The 24,741-nt window shown below is 51.3% G+C and overlaps 1 protein-coding gene across 8 annotated transcripts in view, besides 6 other annotated features; it reads right to left on the reverse strand.

Moving 5' to 3' along the window:
• Positions 1–24,741, reverse strand: part of ANK1 (ankyrin 1) — a 243,517-nt gene that overhangs the window by 11,365 nt on the left and 207,411 nt on the right. For 4 of the 8 annotated variants that reach the window (NM_001142446.2, NM_020475.3, NM_000037.4 and 1 more), the window contains 6 exons: positions 23,922–24,000; positions 23,567–23,641; positions 21,563–21,694; positions 19,955–20,101; positions 7,765–8,323; positions 3,678–3,975 (listed from right to left, as the gene is read on the reverse strand). In NM_001142446.2, the coding sequence (NP_001135918.1) occupies positions 3,678–3,975; positions 7,765–8,323; positions 19,955–20,101; positions 21,563–21,694; positions 23,567–23,641; positions 23,922–24,000 (1,290 nt within the window). Of the gene's footprint in view, positions 1–215; positions 686–3,677; positions 3,976–7,764; positions 8,324–19,954; positions 20,102–21,562; positions 21,695–23,566; positions 23,642–23,921; positions 24,001–24,741 lie in introns of those variants that run through there. The other 4 variants (NM_020480.5, NM_020478.5, NM_001142445.2 and 1 more) reach the window with 2 other exon arrangements.
• Positions 18,942–20,141: an enhancer, noted in NCBI's record as "BRD4-independent group 4 enhancer chr8:41541049-41542248 (GRCh37/hg19 assembly coordinates)". NCBI's record gives its function as "activates an origin of replication core promoter dependent on BRD2, P300/CBP, MED14 and CDK7 cofactors, and independent of BRD4, by STARR-seq in HCT116 cells {active_cell/tissue: HCT116}" and the evidence as "EXISTENCE:reporter gene assay evidence [ECO:0000049][PMID:35650434]".
• Positions 18,942–20,166: a biological region, named in NCBI's record as "BRD4-independent group 4 enhancer GRCh37_chr8:41541049-41542248".
• Positions 19,044–19,605: an enhancer, noted in NCBI's record as "H3K4me1 hESC enhancer chr8:41541151-41541712 (GRCh37/hg19 assembly coordinates)". NCBI's record gives its function as "activates a minimal SCP1, AML or CMV promoter by ChIP-STARR-seq in naive H9 embryonic stem cells {active_cell/tissue: H9 hESC(naive)}" and the evidence as "EXISTENCE:reporter gene assay evidence [ECO:0000049][PMID:30033119]".
• Positions 19,606–20,166: an enhancer, noted in NCBI's record as "H3K4me1 hESC enhancer chr8:41541713-41542273 (GRCh37/hg19 assembly coordinates)". NCBI's record gives its function as "activates a minimal SCP1, AML or CMV promoter by ChIP-STARR-seq in naive H9 embryonic stem cells {active_cell/tissue: H9 hESC(naive)}" and the evidence as "EXISTENCE:reporter gene assay evidence [ECO:0000049][PMID:30033119]".
• Positions 21,240–21,741: an enhancer, noted in NCBI's record as "H3K4me1 hESC enhancer chr8:41543347-41543848 (GRCh37/hg19 assembly coordinates)". NCBI's record gives its function as "activates a minimal SCP1, AML or CMV promoter by ChIP-STARR-seq in naive H9 embryonic stem cells {active_cell/tissue: H9 hESC(naive)}" and the evidence as "EXISTENCE:reporter gene assay evidence [ECO:0000049][PMID:30033119]".
• Positions 21,742–22,241: an enhancer, noted in NCBI's record as "H3K4me1 hESC enhancer chr8:41543849-41544348 (GRCh37/hg19 assembly coordinates)". NCBI's record gives its function as "activates a minimal SCP1, AML or CMV promoter by ChIP-STARR-seq in naive H9 embryonic stem cells {active_cell/tissue: H9 hESC(naive)}" and the evidence as "EXISTENCE:reporter gene assay evidence [ECO:0000049][PMID:30033119]".

The raw sequence follows: 24,741 nt of genomic DNA on the forward strand, positions 1-24,741 counted from the left end.
CACTGTCACAATGCACTGGGCACCAGAGGGCAGGTTCTGGTGGGCGCACACACACTCTGGCTCCCAGGGTGGAACATGATCCCTGGGGGCCTCCTGGTCCTTTTCCTCCGGCGTCTCCCAACTCTGGGTCCGGAGCTCCCCACAGCAGCGTCCCCTCAGCCCCGGCCTCCGGCGCCCACACCACCAGCCCTGCCGGCCTCCTGCCAGGCGGTTACCTTCAGGAAGACCCGCCGCCGGACCACCCTGGTGGAGATGGTCTCCTCGTCGTCACTGAGGCCCTCGCTCTCCCCCAGCTCCTTGTCCAGCTCCTGGTGGATGTGCTTTAGCACAAAGCACAGGGACCCCCTGACAATGTGCATCACGTTCTGACAGCTGACCAGGAAGAAGCTCAGCAGCACCAGCGTGACCAACAGCTGGGTGACGAAAGTCCACATCCTCGCCTCCTCACCAGCCCGGTCCTCTGGCAGCCAGGGCCCCGGCCACCACGGGGGGCCTGCCTCTCATTCTCCACTGGGACTCCTGAGTCCCCCAGGGACCCCTTGCATTCCCCCTCCCTATCTCTCTGGTTTGCTCTCTTGGTCTCTCACTGTTTCTCTCTCTGTGGGCAGGACACCGAATGGCCCTCTCGGCTGAAGCAGCCCGGCCCAAGTGCCCTTCTGCCCAGCAGCCAGGCTCTGCCCTGAGTGGCCCGGGTGACATCACGCTCCTATAATTTTACCTCCCCAAACCAGCTGCCGGAGCTGTCCAACCGGGCTAGAAGGAAGCCGGCAGGTGCCCATGTCCTGAGCACTGAAAGCACAAGTGAAAGTCACTGTGTGAGTGACACCCGCTGCTGCCTAACCCCGCCCTGCCCAGAGACCTGGAAGTGGGGGCTCGGCCTCTCACCTATCCTGCCCATCCCCATGGGAACTAGAAAGAGTTCTGCCCAGGGAAAGTTTCTTACTTTCAGAAAATAATACAGTCCGAGAAAGCAGCTACTTGTGTGTCTCCTTGGGCTGCTACTGCGGTGATCCAAATGCTGTTCCCCGGCATGGTAGGGATGAGACCAGCTAATACCCTGGGTACTTAGCGGTCTGTTTCAAAAATTGCTCCAAAAGGGTGAGTGATGGGCTCAGGGACAGTCAAGTGAGCCCAGCAGGGGCCCAGCACAGGTGGTGGGGCCACCTGGAAGCCGGTCTGTAATTCCTGTCAGCCCACAGGCCCTTGCACCCTTCCTTTATGGGGTACAGCCTCCCAAAACTGAAGCATGGAGCTGGTGTGTCTATTTAAGGCCTGTTCTTAAAGGCTCTTCCAGGGCTGGGCTATCAACGCCCACTGAGCAGGAACAACGCGTATTAAACTTGTATTTACAGAGCTGATTCACAAATGTAGCCGCAGCAGCTGCGGCTGGAAAAAATTTCACTTTCTAGATCAGGTTGTTCCTCTCTGAGTGGCAATGCAGCATGGCAGAAAGAACACAGATCTGGGACACAGCAGACTAACCCTGCAACTCACCTACTGTGGGGTCTTGGGAAGGCTGGGGACCTTCTCTGTGCCTCAGTTTCCTCATCTGTGAAGCACGGATTAAAGTGCTCTCCCCACCCTTTCTCAAGGCTGCTGGGACAATCATGCCGCTTATGAATGCTAACACTATGAATGATAATGGCAAACGCTTGTGATAGTGCATGGTTCTATGTGGATTTCGCATTAATTCACTGACACCTCACCACAGTCCTAACCAAGGAGGTTCTATCGTCTTCCCATTTTACACAAAGGAAACAGAAGCAAAGTATTCTGCCTAGGTGGAGGAGTAAGTAAACGGAGGAGTCACATTCCAAATGCCTCTCACTCCACAATGCTGCTTATTTCAACAAGAAAGCACGGGGAAAAGTATGTGCAAAGAAGCCGGGGAAGCATCTGGTTTTGGCCCAGTCAAGAAGAGTCCAACTTCAGATATTTCCTCCTAAGTCCTCAGAGAAATCAGCTGGGTCACAGTCATTTCAGGCCACCTCCCAAGTCCCAAGTTACATGCAATCTCTCTATCTCCATCACTGTTTTCAGAGGTCCAGTGGAAATACTAATAAGTGGGTGCTTTGCAAACCATCAATCACCTTCAAGGGCATCCTTATCAGCCCTCGGGGCCTGTGAGATGGGCACCGGCAGCAGCCTGCCAGGCCCTCTGATCGGCGTCTCCAGTTCCAGGCTGGGCATGCTGGCCTTGCACGTGCATGCTGGACGTGAGGATGTAGGGCTTGGGAACTGAGGGATCTGGACCCTCCTGGTCCCTGACATTGGTCCACTGTGTGACCCTGGAGAAAGCCCTTGGCTCCTCTGGTCCACAGTGCCCTCATTTATAATTGAGGGAGTTGGATGTGTGATCTAGAAGGCCCTTCCAGTTCCCCTCACCAAAGGCTGACCACAGAGGGGCAGTGGAAAAAAGTGCTGTAGGCGTCTTTCTCTTTCCCCAGGGATTCAGGAGAAGAGACCCAGTTAAGATCATGTGTGCTCTGGGAGCAGGAGAACTAGGCGCCCAGGAGGGCCTGATGGAAGAAACGGACGGGCCGCCTGTGGTGAGGAGTGCACACAGGCGCTGGCCCTGCCCGGGGCACATACTTGGCAGGGGAGCATTCTAAATAAAACCTGACTGAATTCCTAGCAGTTCTATGGCTGGCAGCTCAGGGCCTTCCTTCCAGAGCCACCCTAGTCCTGGAGTCTAAGGTTGAGGTAGGAAAGAAGGGAGACAAGGAAAGAAAGAGAGGAAGGAGAGGAGAGGAGGAAGCACCATGCCTGGATGAGGCGTGAAAACAGAGACAGAACATGTCGTTCATGTACATACTAAACACACGCATGTGGAGAACAGTGGTGCATGTTTTATAAGAACACAAATGGAAAAGACACCCATTAATACGATGGCCAGGATATGCTTCCAAATAATAGTCAGTGGGAGAAAGTGGGGGGTGCAGATGAAACAAGATTGGCCACGAGTAGATCATCATGGGGCCTGGGAATGGGGAAGGGGGATTGAATCGAACAAAATAAAGTTCAACAAACTCGAAGGGAATCCGGGGAAGTGGAAGAAAGGAGGGAGGGCCAGGAGAGGGAGAGGCCTGGGAAATCAGGAGCAGGAGAGGAGACTTCTCTCTATCCCAGGGCCCCTCTTCTACTTGGTGACCGCCATCCAGAGTCCACGTGAATAGCCACAGAATTCCAGAGCCAAGTAACTTTGGCGACATTCCAATCACTCCCTCCTTTACCAGTGAGGACCCTGAGGTGCTGGGAAGAGAGCGCCTTGGGCACGTCACCCAGGTCACCATAGGAGGAGAGTAAGCCCAACGCCCAGTGCTCGGTTCCTAGCCCTTTCTAAAACGCGACAGAACAAGAAAACCAACAAAAGCCACAACTTTGGAGTCAGCGAGACCCAGCTTAGAGCCCACTTCTGAAACTGTGATCTTGAGCAAGTTGCTCAGCCACTCTGATCAGCAGCTGCCCAACAGGTACAGGCGCCTTAGCAGGGATCCAGGAGGCAGAAAGGCAGGCCTTGCCCTTGACTTCTAGAGAAACGGAAGCACCACCACAAGTGTTAAAGGAAGGGGATATGCTTAGCTCAGGGCTTGAGTGCCTGAGAGGCAGCCCTGGAGTCCCGGCCCCTTCCGATGCTGGGAAGGAACAGCAGCACGCAGCTCCCCTCGGGCTCTCACCTGCACCACTTGGGTGAAGGTGTTCTTGGCCTCCTGCACCTGCTCTTCTTGGCCTTGCTGCCTCCGGTCCCTGTCGGCCTGGGAGCTCTCAGCCTCGGGCTGTTCTGTCCACGTGTGCTCACTTACAGACACCAGGACCTTCTCGTACTCCTGAGATCCACCGGGCTCTAGCCCTTCAGTCATGGTACTTGTTCCCTGGAATGAGTGTGGACCTTGCGTGACCTCCTCTTGCCAGGAACCTTGTGCAGCATCTTGCAGGTATGAGACAATCGAGCCGTCTGCATCCCAGTCCTGCAGTCTGGGGTCCAGAAGAAGCAGCAGATGGCCGGCCGGGGAGAGAGAAAAGACACCTGGTCACCCATCAGTCTCATTCCTTTTAGACACTCTCCCCACCCAGAGCTCTGGCTCATCAAGGACACAGACCGTCCTCCCATCCCTCCAAAGGTCAGGGGCGCATGAGCACATTGCTCACCTCACTGCTGTGGTTCAGAGGGGTACACGTGGCCCATCTAATGCTGTCCAGGTGGAAAGGCCACTGGTCCCTCCCTGTGGGTGAACAGCTTGCCCTTGGGGCTCCCAGAGCACTTGGCTCACCCTAATGGTCCAAACACTGGGGCCTCCACACTCTCATCCCACATCCTCAAACTCTGCCACCACCTCCTTCTGCTCTCCAGGCCCTTCCCACTCAGCAGTCCTCATCTGACAAGGTGGTCATTCTCTCCCCCTCAAGACACATTCTCCCGTGGCTCCTGGAAGGTGCTAGCCTGGCGTCTCCCCCTTCCTCTCTGGCCGCTGTTGTTCCATGTCCTCTGCTTGTTCCTCCTAGCTTTCCTGACTTCTGAACATAGGAGCACCCCGGGGTGCAGTTCTCAGACCTCACCGCTGTCCACATCCACTTCCTAAGCAAGCTCATTCATCCCATGGTTCCAAAGCCCATCTCTACACTCAGCGTGCCTGGATGTGTGTCTCCAGCTTGGCTCTCCTCCTAGACCTACAGCTGTGTGCACCCCGCTGCCTCCTCCACATCTTTACTTTGTTGTTGTTTTCTGAGACAGGGCTTCATTCTGTCTCCCGGGCTGCAGTGCAGTGGTACAATCACAGCTCACTGCAGCTCTGCACTCCTGGGCTCAGGCGATCCTCCTGCCTCAGCCACTTGAGTAGCTGGGACTGCAGGCACACGCCACCACGTCCAGCTATTTAAAAAATTTTGTAGAGATGGGTTCTGGCTCACAGGTCTACTTTGGATCTCTACTTGGCATCTCCAGGACAGTGCGATCCAATCCACACTCAAAATCTTCTCCCCTAGCCTGTCCCACCCCATCCCTGCTGCCATCCCTGGTATCTTCATCCTTGCAGTGGGCAGGTCGAGGACACCACTGCCCTCCTTGACCCCTCTCTTCCTCTCTTACCCCACATTGTATTTGTTAGCAGATGCTTCTGAAATATGCCCTGCACCCGCCCACCTCTCAGCACGGCCACCGCTGCCGTCCCAGCCCACAAGCCCACGGCCCTTTCCTCCCGACACACCTCCTGCTTCTCTGCCAGGTTGCGCCAGCCTCCTCTCAAGGCAGGTGCAGCTTACCCTGCTCACCATTCCCTCCCTAGCTTCATGGGCTTGGTTACTCTGTTAGGGCACGTGCCAGGCACGGTCTCCTTCAAAGGGCTAGGCCTTCTGTGGGGCATCCTCCCTGAGATGTCCTCACCCTCACCCTCAATTCCTTGAAGTCTCTCAGCTGGCACTCATGCAGGCCTCCCCTGGCCACCCATCTGTAATTCCAGTCAGCCTTCTTTCCACACACACGCCTACCTCCTGTCCTCCTTCTCTGCTTGATTTTTCTTTTTAGCACGTATTATCTAGAATTTCTGTTTTAATGACTTCTAATTTTATTTACTTTATCTTGTTTCTAGTTAGTTTCCCTGCTAGAACCACGCTTCTTGCAGGTAGAGACTTTTTTCTGTTTCATTCAATGCTGGCACCCAGGCACTCTTTATTGGTGCCTGGCACACAGTAGGCACTCAATAAATATTGTTGAGTAAGTGGATGAAATTCATCTGTCCCCATGAGAAGGCTGACCAAGGTCACAGCACCAGGAAGTGACAAAATAGGCCTAGAGCCCAGGCGTTCATGAACCCAGTTAGCAACACTGCTGCGGTAATGCAGGGGCCAGCATGCAGCCCCTGCAGGTGCTCAATAAATGCTTGTTGAAGGAATGGCCGTCCCAGGAAGGTGTCTCTCTCCCGGGAAGGCCACTATTTCACTTTAAACCAGCCTAAGCTCCATCTGTTCAATCCTCCCCATGAATCCAAAGATTTGTGTAGGAAAAAAAATTAAATCTTTGCTGTCTCAACTTCCAAACGACTTCCTTTCCCTTCCTGTTAGGGTATTGGGGCCAGGCTGCATGGATCCTGTGGAATGGCCCCACTAGCCTGGGCCTCAGGGTGGGACTGAGGGGTCACACAGGTGGGACTGAGGGGTCACACAGGTGGGGAAAGGACATGAGAACAGCTTTCCTTTACCTGACCAGTCCTGAGCTCCTTGGGGTGGGGGCCTGGAACAGCTGCCTGGGGGCACAAGAACCATGTCCTTACTTTAGGGAAAACTCAGCAAGCCAAGGTGACCTGGAGGAAAGGGGATTCCTCTGTCATCCGCTTCCTGTGCTAGCCCAGGAGGACAACGTGAGCCCCATCTCATGTCTGTCTCATCTCTTTCTACAATGGCAAGGGCCTGGCTTGTCTTGGCATCCTTCCCTGCACTCAGCGGAGGGGCATGGTGTAGGCCCTGGCCCAGATGGGACGATGAGAGCTCCAAGGTGAGCCGGTCCTCGGCCGCAGACTTGCAGTGTCTGGGAAATGCATCACCTTCTCCTGACCTGCCGACGCTGCTTTTCTGCTGCGGCACAGGGCGGGGGCTTCTCAGTGCGGGAAGCGTGGGGAAGAGAGCACCCACTGCTCTACAGCTGAAAGCTCCGTCCTGCCCCAGTTAAGCCCACCAGCCCCTCCTTCAAAGGGGGTAAGTGGGGAGGGCGCCATTATCAGCTCCGTCACATGCAGGCTGTGTGACTGCACACAAATAACTTCCCTGGGTACTGGTGCTTCTAAATATGGTCTTCAACTAAATATGGCCTTCAACCGGAAGCACGCAAGGGGAGAGGAGCTCCGAACGCCAGCTCCAGCAGCAGCTGACCCACGGTCTTCCCCAGCCTCATGATTGCTCTTTTAAGTGAGCCATCCTGGTGCTCTAATGTCCCTAAGTGAGCCCTTCCCGTGCACTAATGGCTCTAAGTGAGCACTCCAGGTACCCTAATGTCCCTAAGTGAGCTCTCCCGGCACCCCGATGTCCCTAAGTGAGACCTCCCGGCACCCCGATGTCCCTAAGTGAGCCCTCCCAGCACCCCGATGTCCCTAAGTGAGCCCTCCCGGCGCCCCGATGTCCCTAAGTGAGTCTTCCCGGCGCCCCGATGTCCTAAGTAAGCCCTCCCAGTGCCCTAATGTCCCTAAGTGAGCCCTCCCAGTGCCCTAATGTCCCTAAGTGAGCACTCCAGGCACCCTAATGTCCCTAAGTGAGTCCTCCCGGTGCCCCGATGTCCTAAGTGAGCCCTCCCAGCGCCCCGATGTCCCTGAGTCCTCCCGGTGCCCCGATGTCCTAAGTGAGCCCTCCCAGTGCCCTAATGTCCCTAAGTGAGCCCTCCCAGTGCCCTCATGTCCCTAAGTGAGCACTCCAGGCACCCTAATGTCCCTAAGTGAGCCCTCCCAGTGCCCTCATGTCTCTAAGTGAGCTCTCCCGGTGCCCTAATGTCCCTAAGTGAGCCCTCCCGGCGCCCATATGTCCCTATGTGTGCTCTCCCAGTGCTCCTCGGGGTCTCTCCTGCCGGGCATACCTGGTGGGGTCTTGGGGAGGCACTGGCTTTTGCAGATGGCACCTATGCTCTTATATATGGCATCTGCCAGACTGAATGTATGTGCTCCTGTGCAATTAGAACCCAGGGTCAGGGTTGGCATCGACACCTCTGTCCTCACTGCCAGGCATAATCTTACCCAGGAGCCCAGAAGACAAAAAGGGACCCTGCTCCCACAGTCAAGCTCTTACCTGTCCTGACTCCTCTCCGTCACCTGACTCACGGTGGGGGAATGTGTGATTCGGGCTTGCCCCCTCTGATGGCCTGAAACAAGAGACACTTCATTCTCTGAGTCCTGCCCTGCACCTGTCGCGTCATCCTGCCTCTTAGAACCTGGCAGCTTCTCTTCTGACCTCTGACCTTCCTCCTGTTCAAGCAAATCGATAAGGCCATTTGTGGCATCTGAATCCACTGTGTCGTCCTCCACAAGTTCCAGAGAGCCCAACTCGGGGCCCCGCGGTTCCTCTGAGAGTGCCCCCTCCAACTTCCACTCGTGACCTGTGGCATCAGAGTCCTCAGCCTTGCTACACTCCAGAGAGGAGTCCTCAGCAGTGACCAGAGAAGGCGTGAGGCCCGCAGACCACACCTGCATGTCAGACATCTCCAGCATGGTGTCATGCTCCGTGGCCGCCAAGGGGATGGCGTCTAGGACGGCCACCTCATTCCAGTACTGGTCTGCACGTAGCGGAGAGGAAAGTGCACAGCCCAGGGAGGCAGGGGACAGCAGCTCGTCCTGCAGTGAGGAGTAACCTGGATGGGCAGACAGAGGGCAACATGCTCCAGCAGTGATTCCTGTCCCACCCATTCACGTGCAGGTCCACGCACACGCACGAACACACACATGCGGGTGCGGCCACAGAGATGCATGCACATTCGGGGTGGGTTGGGGGCTTTCCAAGCTCCAGGCCCAATGCTCAGGCCTTGTGGCTGCTGCCTGGGCATCCAGGCAAGAGAAGCAAGGCTCTGAATTGGGTGGGGGCAGCCAGGGTGTGAGGCAGAGATGGGGGAGCGCCCTGCTGGATGGCGAAGAGGAGATTGGACTTTCTTATCCAGTTCAGAGCACTAGATAAAGAAGCCTTTATCCAAAGGACTTGTGCTCCAATCTGTCTCTGATCCCATGAAAGCTCCACTTCTCCATGGCTGGGCAGAAGTAGACGTTGCTCCTCTACTCAAAACTTCACTTTAGCTTAGCTCTTAGGTTCTCAGGGATGTACCTTAAAGGGAAGGAAAGGCCACCCAGAACCAGGGGTAGTAACCAGGCTGCCCTTGAGGGGCCTATCAGGGTACACTAAACACCCATAGACCTCACTGTGGTGGTCAAATGGGAAACAACCTTCTGGTGTGGCCAGGCATCACTTTCCTCAAGTTGCCTATTGGTTCCAGAAACTCTGCATGATCTAAAGTGCTACAGGGGAGGGCTCTTAGGGCTCAAAAGGGGCAAGGTCAGAAGGCACCAAGAGGCACCAGGTCTGCCCGCCCCAAAACCCTGTGTCCAAGAGCCCTGAGCTGCTTGTCCCAGCTGCAGGTCAGCACCGACCTGGTGGGATGGGAGCCAGCTTGCTCAGGCCCTGAGTGCATGACCCGTGCATTGACAGGAAAAAGAGGACTCTGATGCCCCTTCAGAGCAGGTGCCTCTGTGGGTGGGAGAAGAGACTAGAAGACAAGATTCTCCAATGGGCTTGGCCTGTCTAGGAAATCAGGAAGCAAGTACGTGCTTACAGCAGCTGGAAAGCCCACAGAGCTGAAGGGGGACCCTGGGAATGGGCAGGGCTGCCCCTTGCAGTCTCTAGGGACCTTCCTGCCATCGAGAGATGTCCAGACACCCCCAGCCTAGAGTTCAAACCTAGTTCAAATGCTCCATTCTGCCATTCAGCCCCTACCCCCACTCCTACTCACATGCAACTGCCCCCGGGCTGTGCTTTGATTCAAGCCAGGCGGGCTCCTTTCTTGCCCCCTCAGCCTCCGCTCGGGGCCTCAGCCTCCGCTCGGGGCCTCAGCTCCTGATCACCTGCTCCCCTGCTTTTACATCACTAGCTCCATTTATTCTCATCCACTCACTGTTCAACCAAAATAAGAGAGGTCCGATTACATGCCAGGCACTGTGCTATGGGAATGGGGATGACAAACCCCAAACACACATGCACACACACACACTCACACACTCTCTCTCACCCACACACTCACAGATGGGACAGCTTCTTGTCTCATGGCATTTTCCCAGCTTCAGCTCCTGTTGCTCCCTCCCATCTCTGAGGCTGTCCTAGGGTCCCTCGCTAAGGCGGTTCTCAGAAATGCAAACCCATGAGGACAGGGCTGATGCCTGCCTTCCTCGCCCCACCCTTTCCTACAACAGGATTGGGCCTCCACTAGCCCCATGACCACTGAAGAGCTCTCCAGGTGTGTGAGAGGACCCAGCAGCTGGAACAGAAAGACCTCAGGCACATTCAGTGGAACTGCAATTGCTAACATGTACCTGTGTGTTCAACGTGCCCGGAGCCATGCTGTGTACTCCGCATGCATTCTCTTAATCTCCCAGGGAAGTTTTCTTCCCTGCAAGCCTACTTGGTTCCAGGTCCCAAATGAGCGGGGAGGATGAGCCCGTGAAGGTGGGGTGGTTGGGAGAAGGGCTGCACAGCGGCAGAGACTGAGGGAAACCCCTTTTAGCTCTGGCCAAACTAGGAAGAACAAGGAGGAAGGAGTGGGAAGAGTAGGTGAAATGGGTGGGTCACATCTTACCATGAACTGAACTCCAAGTCACTGTACATGAAACTGTGACTTGAGGAATTATATAGCTGACCAGGGCCATGGCCTTCAAACCCTTCATAGAAAACCCTCCACATATACAAAAGCAGGACATTTTGGGGTCAACTGATGATTATTTTTCTTATTACTCTTGCGAGCATTTTATATTATTTACATCAGTTACTGAGCATTTTGTTGTTTTTTAAAGCAGAGTCTTGCTCTGTTGCCCAGGCTGGAGTGCAGTAATGCAATCTCAGTTCACTGTAACCTCTGCCTTCTAGGTTCAAGTGATTCTCCTGCCTTAGCCTCTCCACTGGGAGTAGCTGGGATTACAGGTATGCGCCATGACGCCTGGCCAATTTTTGTATTTTTAGTAGAGATGGGGTTTCACCCTGTTGGCCAGGCTGGTCTCGAACTGCTGACCTCAAGTGATTCGCTTGCCTCAGCCTCCCAAAGTGCTGGGATTACAGGGTTGAGTCACTGAGCCCGGCCACTGAGCGTATTTTTAGTGCAAAACATATCTAACATGTTTTTAATTGCCACAACAACCACATGAGGAAAATAATATAATTCCTACTTTATAGATTAGGAAACTACAGGTTTAGCAACTTGCGGAAGGCCATACAGCTAGTAAGTTTGGTCTTTTCCATAGACTTTGCCATTAATCTCTATTAAAAATAGCTTTGTTGAGGTATGTTTGACATTCAATAAATGTGTATCTTTAAAAGGGGGTAAATTGATACGTTGTGACACATGTGTACCCCCATGAAGCCATCACTTCAAAGAAGAAAAAGGACATTTGTCACCCCAGAAAGGTCTCCTCAAGCTTCTTTGTAATCTCTCCCTGCCCTTTCCCCCTCTGCCAACCCCAAACCATTCCCAGGTGACCCCGATCTGCTTTTTGCCACTACACATCAGTTTGCATTTCCCAGGATTTTACATAAACGGATTCATACAGTATGCACTCTCTCTTTCTTTAAAGCCTGGCTTCTTTCACTCAACGTAGTCAATTTGGGTTTCATCCATGCTGATGCATGTATCAATAATTTATTTCTGTTGCTAAGCCATAGCCCTTTGGAAGGATATATCACAGTTTGTAAATTTATTTACCTGCCAATGGACATTTGGGCTGCTTCCAGTTTGTGGCTATTACAAGTAAAGATGCTAGTCTGTATGGACATAATGCTTTCTTTTCTCTTGGGTAAATAGCTAGGAATGGAATGACTTGATTGTACAGTAGGTATATGTTTAACTTTGTCAGAAATGATCAAGTGGTTGTACCATTTTGCATTCCCACCAGTGGTGTATGAGAGTTCCAGTTCCCCCATATCCTCACCAACACTTGATATGGCCAGCCTTTTTAATTTTAACCATTCTTTTAGGTATGTGGTGGTACCTCCTTATAGTTTTAATTTGTATTTCCCAAATCACTAATGATGTTGAGCATATTTTCATGTGCTTATTTGCCATGTGTATATATTCTGGGTGAAAAGTCTGTTCGAATCTATTGCTCAATCTAAAAACTGAGTTGTTTTCTTATTATTAAGTTTTGAGAGTTCTTTGTATATTCCAATACTATAGCAGATGATTATTTGCCAATATTTTCTCCCAGTCTGTAGCTCGTCTTTTCATTTTCTTAACAGTGTATTTTGAAGAGCAGAAGTTTTGATTTTGATGAAGCCCAACTTGTCAATTTGTTCTTTTATGGATTGTGCTTTTGGTGTTGTATCTGAGAAATCTTTGCCTTAACCAAGATCTTTAAGGTTTTTTTCTTATGTTTTCTTCTAGAAGTTTTATAGTTGTAGATATTACATTTAATCTATGACCCATTTAGAGTTGATTTTTGTATACAAGGTAATAATCCAAGTTCATTTCAGTTTAGATTTTTTGCATAAATGTTCATAAATGATATTGGTTTGCAGTTTTCTTGTTAATTGTCTTTCTTCCCAATATCAGGGTAATGCTGGCCTCATAAACTTAATTGAGAAGTATTTTCTCATTTTCAATTTTCTAAACAAGTTGTTTCTTCCTTAAATGTTTGGTAGAATTCACCAGTGAAGCCATCTGGGCATGGACTTTTCTTTGTAGGAATGTTCCAAACCATACATTTAATGTCTTTCATTTATATGGGGCTATATCTATTTCTTCCTAAGTGAGCTTTGATAGTTTGTGTCTTTCAAGGAATTTGTTGATTTCACCTGTTTTCCAATTTACTGGCACAAAATTGTCATAATATCCCTTTATTGTCCTTTTACTACCTATAGAATCTGTAGATATTCTATAGGTAGTATATATTCCTTATTCCTGATATTGGTAATCTGCAGGTCTTCTCTTTTTTCATAATCAGTCTGGCTAGAGGTTTATCAATGTTATTGATCTTTTCAAATCACCAGCTTTTGGTTTCATTAAGTTTCTCCAAGTTTTTCTGCTTTCTGTGTCACTGATTTCCACTCTGATCTTTATTATTTCCTTTATTCTATGATTTTGGGTTTAATTTACTCTTCTTTTTCTAATTTCTTAAGGTAGAAAAGTCTTTATTTTGCTTTCATTTTTGAAGTTACGTGTGCTAGGTATAGAAGTCTAGGTTACTTTGGAGATGTTATTTCTTTCTTCTTTAAAGATGTGGCATACTTTAAAGATGCCACACCATGTTCTGGCTTCTGTTGTTTCTTTTTTTCCCTTTTTCTTTGTTTTTTTTTTTTGAGACAGGATTTCACTCCCGTTGCCCAGGCTGGAGTGCAATGGTGCAATCTTGGTTCACTGCAACCTCTGCCTCCTGGGCTCAAGCGATTCTCCTGCCTCAGCCTTCTGAGTAGCTAAAAGTACAGGCACGCACCACCATACACGGCTAATTTTTGTATTTTTTGTAGAGATGGAGTTTCACCCTGTTGCCCAGGCTGGTCTCGAACTCCTGATCTCAAGTGATCCACCCACCTCGACCTCCCAAAGTGCCAGGATTACAAGCGTGAACCACTGCACCTGGCCTTGGCTTGTGTTGTTTCTAATAAGAAATCTGATGTGAATCTTATTTTGGTTCCCTTGTACATAACACATTTTTTTCCCTCTGATTGCTTTTAAGATTTTTCTCTTCACCACTGGTTTTGACCAGTCTGCTAATAATGTGCCCTGATAGAGTTGCTCACGTGTTTCCTGTGCATGCAGTTCATCAAACTTGTTGGATCTATGTCTTCATGATTTTTATCAAATTTGGCAAGTTTCTGTCCATATTTCTTTTTTTTTCTTTTTCTTTTTTTTTGCGTTGAGAACTCTGTCACCCAGACTGGAATGCAGTAATGTAATCTCGGTCCACTGCAACCTCCACCTCCTGGGTTCAAGCGATTCTCCTGCCTCAGCCTCTCAAGTAGCTGGGACTACAGTCATGCACCAGCATGCCTGGCTAACTTTTGTAATTTTTTTAGTGGAGACAGGGTTTCACTATGTTGGCCAGGCTGGTCTCGAACTTCTGACCTCAAGTGATCCGCCCACCTGGGCCTCCAAAAGTGCTGGGGTTACAGACATAAGCCACTGTGCCCAGCCCCAAATTTCTTACAATACTTTTTCTTCCTTCTTTTCTGTTGGGAACTGTAATTTCACATATTAGGTCACTTGAAATTGCCCCATAGCTCACTTTGTGTTTCTCCAAAACAGAAAGAAAAGAAAAATGTTTGGAGTTTCTCTTGCTGTATTGTCAAGTTCACTAATCTTTTCTTCTGCAGTGTCTAATGTCTAATCCCATCCAGTGTATTGATCCTACACATTCATCTCTAGAAGATTGGCTTGGGCCTTTAAAAAATATCTTCCATGTCTCTACTTAGCTTTTTTGAATACCTGAAATACAGTTACAATCACCGTTTTAGTATCTTTGCTAATTCTTTTTTTGTTTGTTTGTTTGTTTTGAGACAGAGTCTCGCTTTTGTTGCCTAGGCTGGAATGCAATGACACTATCTCGGCTCACTGCCACCTCCGCCTCCTGAGTTCAAGTGATTGTCCTGCCTCAGCCTCCTGAGTAGCTGGGATTATAGGCGCCTGCCACCTCACCCAGCTAATTTTTTTGTATTTTTAGTAGAGACAGGGTTTCACCATGTTGGCCAGGCTGGTCTCAAACTCCTGACCTCAGGTGATCCGCCCACCTCGGCCTCCCAAAATGCTGGGATTACAGGCATGAGCCACCATGCCCAGTCCTTTGTCTGCTAATTCTAACATCTTTGTCAACTCTGGGTCAGTTTCAATGGATCGATTTTTCTCCGCATTATGGATCCTGTTTTCCTGCCTCTTTGTGTGTCTGATTACTTTTAATTGGATGCTGGACATTGCGAATTTTACCTTGTGGAGTGCTGGATGTTTTTGTATCCGTGTATGCTTGAGCTTTGTTCTGTTACGCAGTTAAGTTACTTGGAAGTAGTTTGATCCTTTTGCATTTTGCTTTCAAATTTTATCAGGGAGGACTGGAGCTTTGGGGGTTAATTTTTCCCTATTTGTGAGATGAGATCCTTCTTTGTCCCCTGAACAAAGGCCGTGAGAGATCAATTGGGAATAGCTGGCTAATACTCATCTGAAACTTGTGGGGGACTCCAGAGTGTTCTATCTGTGCAACTGTCTCCTCTCTGGTGCTCTGTCTTGAGAACTCCAGCTGTCTTGGTCTTCCTGGACTTTCTTTTTTTTTTTTTTTTTTTTTTGAGACAGAGTCTCACTCTGTGGCCCAGGCGGGAGTGCAGTGGCGCAATCTCGGCTCACTGCAAGCTCCGCCTCCCGGGTTCACGCCATTCTCCTGCCTCAGCCTCCCGAGTAGCTGGGACTACAGGCGCCCACCATCACGCCAGGCTAATTTTTTTTGTATTTTTAGTAGAGACGGGGTTTCACCGTGTTAGCCAGGATGGTCTCGATCTCCTGACCTCGTGATCCGCCCACCTCGGCCTCCCAAAGTGCTGGGATTACAAGCGTGAGCCACCGCGCCCGGCCTTCCTGGACTTTCAAAATGGTAAACTAGACAGCTGTAGGGCTCACTTCATTTATTTCCCATGCTTTGTGGATCAGTGTCCTTTGTTATTTGATATCCAATGTCTTGAAAACTGTTGTCTCATATAGTGTGTCCATTTTTTGGTCTGCAGTAGTTTCAAGCAGGAGGGTATATTCAGTCCCTGTTATCCTGTCTTGGCCAGAAGTGGCACACATCGCACCTGACACAGCTCCTTGGATTTGGCTGGATGAACATTCCATCACTCCTTGGAATTGCGATGAGACTTGAGAACTGGGAGAGGGCAGCTTTGCGCCACAGAACACTTGAGGCTCATTCATGGATTCCTTTTGTGAGTTTCCCACCTTGAGACTTCCACGGCATTTGCTTTAGTGGAATTTCACCCAAATAAAGATGTAAGGGGCCGGGCACAGTGGCTCATGCCTATAATCCCAGCACTTAGGGAGGCTGAGGCAGGTGGATCACCTGAGGTCAGGAGTTTGAGACCAGCCTGGCCAACATGGTGAGATCCCCGTCTCTACTAAAATATAAAAATTATCTGGGTATGGTGGCGGGCACCTGTAGTCCCAGCTACTCGAGAGGCTGAGGCAGGAGAATCACTTGAACCCGGGAGGCAGAGAGGTTGCAGTGAGCTGAGATCGCACCATTGCACTCCAGCCAGGGCAACAAGGGTGAAACTCTATCTCAAAAAAAAAAAAAAAAAAAGTATGGATACAGAGAGCACATGTACCACCTCTGCAGGAAGTCCCTACTTGTCTTCACTCTGGGAGTCCTTCCCTGGTAACAGCATTTAGGGTACATGCCCAGCTGCTCCCTCTCCCAGCCATGCTGGCTGAGATCCAAGGCCACAGGTAGCTAGCTGTATTGCTGGTGCTGGTGGGAGTCACTATGAAGCTGCAGCAATACTTGCAGAAGCACAAGTGCATCCTCATGAGGAACATCTCACAGGTCTGGGGTGGACCAGACCATAGGCAGATCCACTGGATCCCCCAGGGTGAGTTCCAGAATGTCTGTCTCTCTGGTAGTCTCATGCAGCCCCACCACACCTGGGTCACCAGCCCCTCCCTCAGTCTAGAGGCCTCCTCTTGGGGCTACATGTTGGAGAAGTCAGGTAAAAGGCAGCCACACATATTGGTTTGGGGCAGCATACAGTCAAGTGGTCCCTGCTCATTCCAGGTCACTGCCCTGGTTCTGTGCTGACCCAGAGGTAATAATCGTCCTGCTAGCTTAACGTCAGCAGCAAATGGGCAACAGGGGTCATCAGACAGCCTCACCCTAGACAAGGCCACACTTCACTAGCCACAGTTGTGAAGAATTGAGGGAAATAAAACAAGTTTTATTTCCAAGTAGACATTAGTTTGTGTCTGATTTATCAGGTCAAATGGAACTCACACGGGTGTGAGATGATCATTTCTCCTCTCATAAGGGAAGTCTGTTTTATTTTCAGAAACATGCTATTTTATTTTGGATCTATAGGCCATGCTTTCTTCATGTTTATTCCCAGGGCCTGGGCCGTCCTCTCCTATGTGGGAGAAGCACGCTGGCCTTTTGGCCTGAGCCCCTCTGCTCTGGCCAATTAAGGCACTGGTGGTGAGCAGAGCTATGAAGGGAGAGACAGCCTCAGGCTTCTAATTCCTGGACACCACCCACTTATGTCGTGCTCACAGAGCTGCCTATCACTACCCAGAGTCCCAGGGCCTCAGAAGGAGGCTCAGACATGCAGAGGGACCAGGAAAAGCACAGAGGAGCCAAGGTCCGACTGTGGGCATCAGTGCATTGGGCTGGTTGGGCACCAGGTCAGGCCATCACGAGCCCTGCCCAGGGAAGAGCAGAGAAGCTGCAGAGCCTGTAGTGCCCCCCCACCCCCCTTAGACCTCTGACTGTCCTGCCACCTTCTCTCCAGAACACAAGGGCACCCAGATGAGGGCCAGACTTTCTGGGGCAAGGAAGAAGGCAGGAAAAATATAAAGAAGCTGATTCTGGACAAAGCAGGGCATCGGTGCATGAGTCTGCTGGGGCACAGAGCTGGGTCTACCGGGGACCTGCCAGAGAGGGTGTCAGGGACTGCTGAGGCTGCACAGAGCAGCCAGGAAGCACAGAACATTCGACTGTGACCATCTGAAATCAACTACTCGGGAGAGGGCTCCCTCAAAGACTTAAGGGCAATCATGCCACTCTTTGGCCAGAACCCTCTGATGGCTTTCCAGCTTACTCCAAGTCAAACCCAATGTCCTCATGACAGTCTATGGGTGGGCTCCGTGTCACCCCTCCAGCCCCCACACCTGCCCTCTCTCCCACTGTCCCTTTGCCCCCGCCTCCAGCCCCGTCCTGTGAACGCATCAGGAAAGCCCCCTTCACACTCCCTGCTCTGAAATCTTCCACCTCAGTGCCGACGCATGGCTCCCACCTCATCTCTGGCAAGTCCTCGAGTGCCACCCGCTTCCCTTGCACCATGAGTCCCCCTGGCCCCGACTCCGGTCTGTTTCTCCTGCACCATGCACGTTAACTGCTGGTGTGTGATACAATTCCCCGCGTGGCTCTCCTCACAGGAGGGAAAAGCTCCACAAAGGCAGAGTTTTGTTTTGTTTTGTCTGGTTGAGAACAGGTATCTCTCTCCTGCCTAGCACAGTGCCTGGCATGTGGTTGATACTTGAAAAATATTTGCCAAATGGGCTGACCCCCTGAAGCAGAGCCCTTTCAGCAGACATGGAGTGCACAGGCCCAGTCCCACACAGGAATTGAGAACCACTCGGGCAAGAATGCCTCAAGGCCTGGTGGGAGCTAGGGGTCTGTGGCCCGGGGAGATGCTCACAGATGCCCAGGTCTGTAACTGTGAATATTCACACTCATGTGGCTCTGGTGGCCCATTGTCCTGTAGGTGCTTAATCAGGGCACAGGAAATCAAAAGCGTGCCCCTCTGACTTGACCAAAAGTATGCGCTGGGTGTCAAAGAAGTCTCGACACATGGGAAGGGAGAGGAGCTTTGTCACTAGAATTTCCCCAGGTTTGTGGCTTCCCTCAACCGCCCTCAGCCCACTGAGCTCCTGTAAAGCTCTGGCCAGGTCCCCTGAGGGGAGGCTGGAATCCCCAAGGGGGTGGACCTGGGGAGTGGGCCGGGCACACGCAGCAGGCAGCACCACACAGCAACACCCACGGACACACACACACATGTATGCACACGCACACACATGAACACGTGCACACACACACACATGCACGCACACATGCACACACATACGCACACACACAAGTACACCCAGGACATGGCCATGAGATGCGTGGGGAGACAGGGCTGGGGGCCATGACATGCATGTGGACGTGGCCGGCTCTGCGCCTGCCGAAATGGGGACAGTGGAGACAGTGGAGACAGGCAGCACGATAGCGTGAGTGCACAGAGGTCAAGATGAGGTCAGAGGCAGAAGAGAGGCAATGGGACGTGATCAGCAGATGGGCCCTGCTCCCAGGATGCAAGATGGCACACTTCAGGAGACACAGGATGCAGAGCAGGGGACAGGGAGGGCTCAGCGAGCAGGGTCCCCTGGTAGGGGCTCCGTGCCCAGGCCCACCTGGGACTCGCCCTCAGCCGCGCCCCCAAACTGTGTACCCAGTCACAGGTGCCCACCCTCAGCCTGGGCGTGGCGGGGATGGCCCCTAAGACAAGGAGCTTGAGGAGCATACACATCACCATGCAGGCATCCAGGGTGACGCGTCAGCCACCTGAGGAAGCCACGTCACAGACATGGAAATTTTGTTTCAAGGTCTGTAAGGAATTTTAGGGATCCAATCCAACTTGCTGATTTTACAGAAGGGGAGAGGGCTCAGTCATGCAGGGAGTTGGCAGGAAGGAAGGGCCTAGAACCCAGACCTCCTGGCCGGAGAGTGGGGCCTCGCTGTTTATGTGCCCGCTGGCCAGAGAGGGGGCGGGCGAGGAAGGTGTTGCGAGGGGGCCTGGCCCAGGAGTGGCAGGGGCTTGGGGGCAGAGGTCACAGCCTCCTGTACATCCTCTCCTTGGGCTGGATCTCACGGGGGATCCCTGCCATGCTGAGTCACATCAACAAAGAATGAGGGGAAGGAGATGAGATGATAGAAAAGGGGGAGAGGAAAAAGCAGAGAGACCCGGCTCCAGGAAGAGCAAACTGCTCAGTCCCTAGAAGTGGCCACAGCAGGATTTGTAAAACACCGTCCAGTTAAACTGCACTAGACCTTGGGCCAGGAATCTCCATGCCCTCTGCTTCCCAACCACTGACTGTTTTACAGATGGGGACACTGACACCCCAAAGAGGGCCCACGCCTTGCAAAGAGCTACCGGAAAGTCTGCAGCTGTGTAGGGGCAGTCTCTAGCTAGAGGCCTCTGACTCAGCTTTTTCTCATACACCACGCCCTGTGGGGACGCAGTTGCTGATGGCAAGGGCCTGGGGGCCATTCTGCAGGGCTGCAAAGGCTAAGGCGGAGGCGATGCCCACCTGCACAGGAGCAGCCATCTCTCTCTCCTTCGCCTCTGCTTCCCCGGAAAGGAGGAACTTGTTGCTGACAAACCAGACCTCCCACCAATGGGAGGCAGAGCGGGCTTTGAGGGATGACGTATTGTGGGAAGGGGTTATTGGTGCTGATGCCTGTAGGGCAGGGCTCCGGCTCAGTCCCCATCTGGTCCAGGTGACACTCACCATTCATCTGGGAGGGTGACAGCGAGTAGTCGCGGTCGGTGTGCCGCCTGTCTGGCTTCAAGTTGCGGCTCTGTCGGCCGGAACCCTCCAGCATGTTCACGATCTCGCCACGGTCAATGCTCTGCAGGGCTGTGTACAGATTCTCCACTGTGGGCGCAGAAGAGAGATGCACGTTACTCCAGGCCGGTGAGCGAGGATCACATGGGCTCAGAAAATGGGGCCAGGATGAAGATGGAGAAAGGAGATAATTTTTTTCAGAAGGTGGAGGCACCCTCTTTTATTAGAGTCAAAACAAACTTCCTCTGGGGAGAATACTTTTTACACTTCAGCAGATCTTTTCCAAATGCTAACAGTGCGCAGTTATTTTATTTATTGGTCTCTGTTACCAAAAAAAAAATAAATTATTTTATTTATTGGTCTCACTCTGTCACCCAGGCTGGAGTGCAATGGGGCAATCTCGGCTCACTGTCCACCTCCCAGGCTCAAGCAATTCTCGTTCCTCAGCCTCCCGAGTAGCTGGGATTACAGGTGCATGCCACCACGCCCTGCTAATTTTTGTACTTTTAGTAGAGACAAGGTTTTGCCATGTTGGCCAGGCTGGTCTCGAACTCCTGACTTCAAGTGATCTACCTGCCTTGGCCTCCCAAAGTGCTGGGATTATAGGCATGAGCCACCGTGCCCACCACAGTGGCCAATTTAAAAGTCTAGAAAGACTGTTTTTTTATTATTATTTTGTAAGCTAAGAGGAGCACTACAAGAAAATAAGGATGAGAATGATTAGATTCTGTCCTTTTGAAATTCTTGGTCCTTGCCAGATGATTTGAGATGCAAATGTAAACACTCAATTTCCACTTAGTGTTTTTGAGTCTGGGAAACTGGTTGAGGAGGAGCTGAAAAGAGAATGAGGCAAAGCTCCCTCCAGGTTGGAGGAAGCTCCTGGGAGAATGAGAACTGGTTCAGACTGGGGTCCAGCTCACCCAGACTGTGTCCTGAGAGGACAATACTCATTTGCTTGGGAAATTCAACAGGAAGACCTCAAAGATGAGTCATACACCCTGCACAGATGTTGTCATCTAGGAGTCCTGATGCAATTTTTATGTTATTTTTTTTAGAGTCAGGATTTTGCTTGTTGCCCAGGCTGGAGTGCAGCAGTGCAACTGTAGCTCACTCAGCCTTGACCTCCCAGGCTCAAGTGATCCTCCTGCCTCAGCCTCCAGAGTAGTTGGGACTACAGGTGTGTGCCACCACACCTGGCTAATTTTGAAAGGACTATGTTACACAGTCTGTTCTCGAACTCCTAGGCTCAAGCCACCCTCCCACCTTGGCCTCCCAAAGTGTGGGGACTACAGGCATGAGCCACTGTGCCAGGCCTTGCAATTTTTATCTTATTCCAAGGATGTGAGAAAGGCTGAGGCCAAGCTTCTCTGGTCATGCCTTCTGGCAGGACTGCCTGGAAGACCTCCTGATGCGAGTGGTGCGTGAGTGTGTGTGAGAGAGACAGAGACAGACTGACTCCAGAGGCCAGTGTCATGAATGGAATTTGAAGGAAGAACTAGTTTGGTGGGGAGGAGGTCCTAGGACAGGCTTCCTCAGTGGGACGGTACTGACTGTTTGCGTTTTGGCCTTCACGGATGACCCAGAGGTTCAGCAAGGCCACACTCTGCTCCAACAGGGAGTTGGGATTTTCCACTCGGATCCTGTTGATGTCTTCCACACTGAACTGCAGCTCCCGGGCCAACTCTGCAAGCAAAGAACCAACAGCAGATGTGAGCCTCCAGCTCACCAACAGCAGGGGGCCTCCAGCACACAGGCTGGGTGGGCACTGGGGCGTGGGGGGACCCAGTGGGGAGCACAGGGAGCTCTGAGGCAGCCTCCCTGTGGGTTTGGTCTTCCTTCTTATCAAGAAATTCCTTATGAAATGCCAGCACCTATACCTTTATGTCCCCAGAAAATGGAAGAATGGGAGGGGTGTTTGTTAAATAGGTCCTGAATGAATGAATGATCAAATGTCCTTTCTTCCTTTCGTAACTTCCAATATGAGATGACATGAACTCTCAGCAAGGTCAGCAACTTCTGCAAGGTCACAGAGCCAGCAAGTCCCTGAGCCAGGAGGCAGCCGTACCTGCCGATTCTCACCCCAGCACTGCCTGGGCCACGCCATGCCCTACTGCCAAGAACCAATGAGAACAGAAATGGACTCCTGAGCTTATGCGTCTTCAGGGAGAGGCTTTATTTACATTTAAAATGAAAATACAAGTTCCCATCTAAATGCAAGGCAATAATGCAGACTGTTAGCCAAAATCCCCCATTATTTTTATTGTTATTGCTTTAGAAGGAAAATAGCATTAGAGTCTAATTTCAAGGATGAAGAAGACTGGGGAGAAAGTGATGGTGAGAATCAGAACACGCACATACAACACAAACGTGCACACACTCACAACACATACACGTGCATACACACATGCACACACACGCCCCCTGAGCAGCCAGCAGTCATGATTAAAAGAAGGAGCCGTGACTGAACTTCTGAGTTTGTCACACGGCCTTTCCACAAGTCATTGCCAAAAGGTTTCTGAGTGTGTCTAAAGTGTTCTCCAGGGGAAGTGAATGAAGGGAGTCCACTCATATAAAAGCTAACAAAAAATAAGGAGGGGAAGGGGAAGCCATCTCAGTGTCAACAAGAATTGAGCACCGGGCTCTGGACAGAAATACGGTTATAATTAAGCATTCACCAAGCTGCGCTTGGGTCCTCTTCTTTGTTGCTCAAAGCCACACAGTGCTGGATACTGACCACTCGCACCCCCATTGTTCCTAAAGACAGGGTTTCTGACATTAGGCTTCTGTTTAAGGATCCCTTAAGATGGTTTTCAGATTCCCAATTCCAGCAACCACTTTGAAGGCAGGGATCAGCACGAGAACGTAGCTTCTTGCTCTCCCTGTCCATGACTCCACCCTGCACTCTCCAACCAATCAACCACCTACACACTCCAGCCACTCCAAAGCCCTTAACAGCCCGAGCCCTGAACTCCTCCTTGGGGAGACGGATTTGAGGTTTCCTCCTCCCTCCTTGTTTGGTGGTCCTGGGATTAAGCCTCTTTCACCGCTGCAACCCCGTGTCTCCGTGTGTCTTGACTTGCCACTCACATTGGGCAATGGACCTGCTGTGGTTACACAGGGAGAATCCAGTTCTAGGGTCTGTGGTTGGGCACAGCACATTCTGAGCCTTCACTTTATTTGCCCACCTGTCTCCCTTAAAATAAGATCTACCCTGATGGTTGGCAGGACTTCTGTGAGATCCAGCCACAGCCACAGACCATAGCGAAATATGTTGAGACTTGCCCTTTCCTTCCCTCCTTTTCAAGGTCTCCTGTAAACTCAAAAGCTGAGTCTTTCTTAGAAAGGAAAGTCAGACAGAGATGGAGGCAGGGGGCTCCCCCTTCATGGGCAGCCAATGGTGTGGCTTGGGCAGCAGACCCAGCTCAGACAATCACAAATCAGATAACCCACGGGTGATAAAAGGAGGGTTAGAAATGCCTCATTCATTGCTCATTACAGGGGAAGAGGGTAGGTGAGATGGACAAAGTGCTTTTCTGCCCCCAATTCCCCACTCACCTGCCCAGCTGAGACCGAGGTGCTCTGAGATAACAGCCATCTTCATCTCTGCCTGCTCTGTCCCACTGAGAGAACCTGGGGAGAAGCATTAGATTTCATTTAGTAGCCAGGGCAGGACACAGTTGACAGGCCTGAGGACACGGCCTGTGATGGATGTGGCTTCCGTGTGCACTGGGGTGATTGTCTAGACTCTCTGCAAGATCAGGGGAAGACCCGAGTCAGCTCTGCAGCTGCTTTTGGAACTGGCTGAGCGAGCGGCACCTCAGCAGAACCCTCACAGGGCTGCGGGGAGATGAGCTCACGCCCACCCTTCTTGGGAAGGGAGCAAGCATGCATCATCACACAGAGGCCGTACCTGGTGTGGACTCACTGAGAATGCTGTATCGCAGGGCCAGGGGCGTCGGGGTCCTTCTCCTATCTTCGGCTCCACTTCCCTGCAGAAGAAGAAAGGGTGCTTTGGGTTTTGGACTCTCCCCACCTTCCCAGAGAAAGTGATCTGAGCTCCTATGCTGCAGGGGTGTGGAAGGCTGACCCCAGTCCTGGTAAACAATCAGTCCGTTTCTTCAGGGACTTAACACAAAGAGTAACACATGGGAGGAGTGGGAGTGAAGGGAAGCTGAAGAAGCGCACATGCGTTATTAATCACAGTCGTAATAACGGCAAGCCCACGTCACCCCATCACCTGTGAGGCCCTATTTAATGTTCACGGCAACCTAAGAGGTGGGTGCTGTATTACTCCCATTTCATCAATACGTAAACTGAGGCATAGAGAGACAAAGTTCCTTGCCCAAGATCACCCAGTTAATATGCAATGGAGCTGGGGTTGAACTTAAAATGATTGTTTTTCTTTTTGGATTTCTTTCTGCTTGAAAGACCCGTTTCTGTACTGCCTTAAGGCCTTAACATCACAGCCCTGTGGAAAAGCATCCGAACATTTGCCCAAGGCTGCAGAAAAATATTCTCTCTCTCTTTTTTTTTAAGAGCCAGGGTCTCACTCTGTCTCTGAAGCTGGAGTGCAGTGCGATGGCACGATCATGGCTCCACTGCAGCCTCAAACTCCCGGCCTCAAGTGATCCTTCTGCCTCAGCCTCTCGAGTGCCAGGACTACAGGTGCATGCCACCATGCCCAGCTAATTTTTCATTTTTTTTTTTTTGTACAGACAGGATCTCACTAT

This window comes from Homo sapiens, chromosome 8 (genome assembly GCF_000001405.40).
Source record: "Homo sapiens chromosome 8, GRCh38.p14 Primary Assembly".
Taxonomy (NCBI): domain Eukaryota; kingdom Metazoa; phylum Chordata; class Mammalia; order Primates; family Hominidae; genus Homo; species Homo sapiens.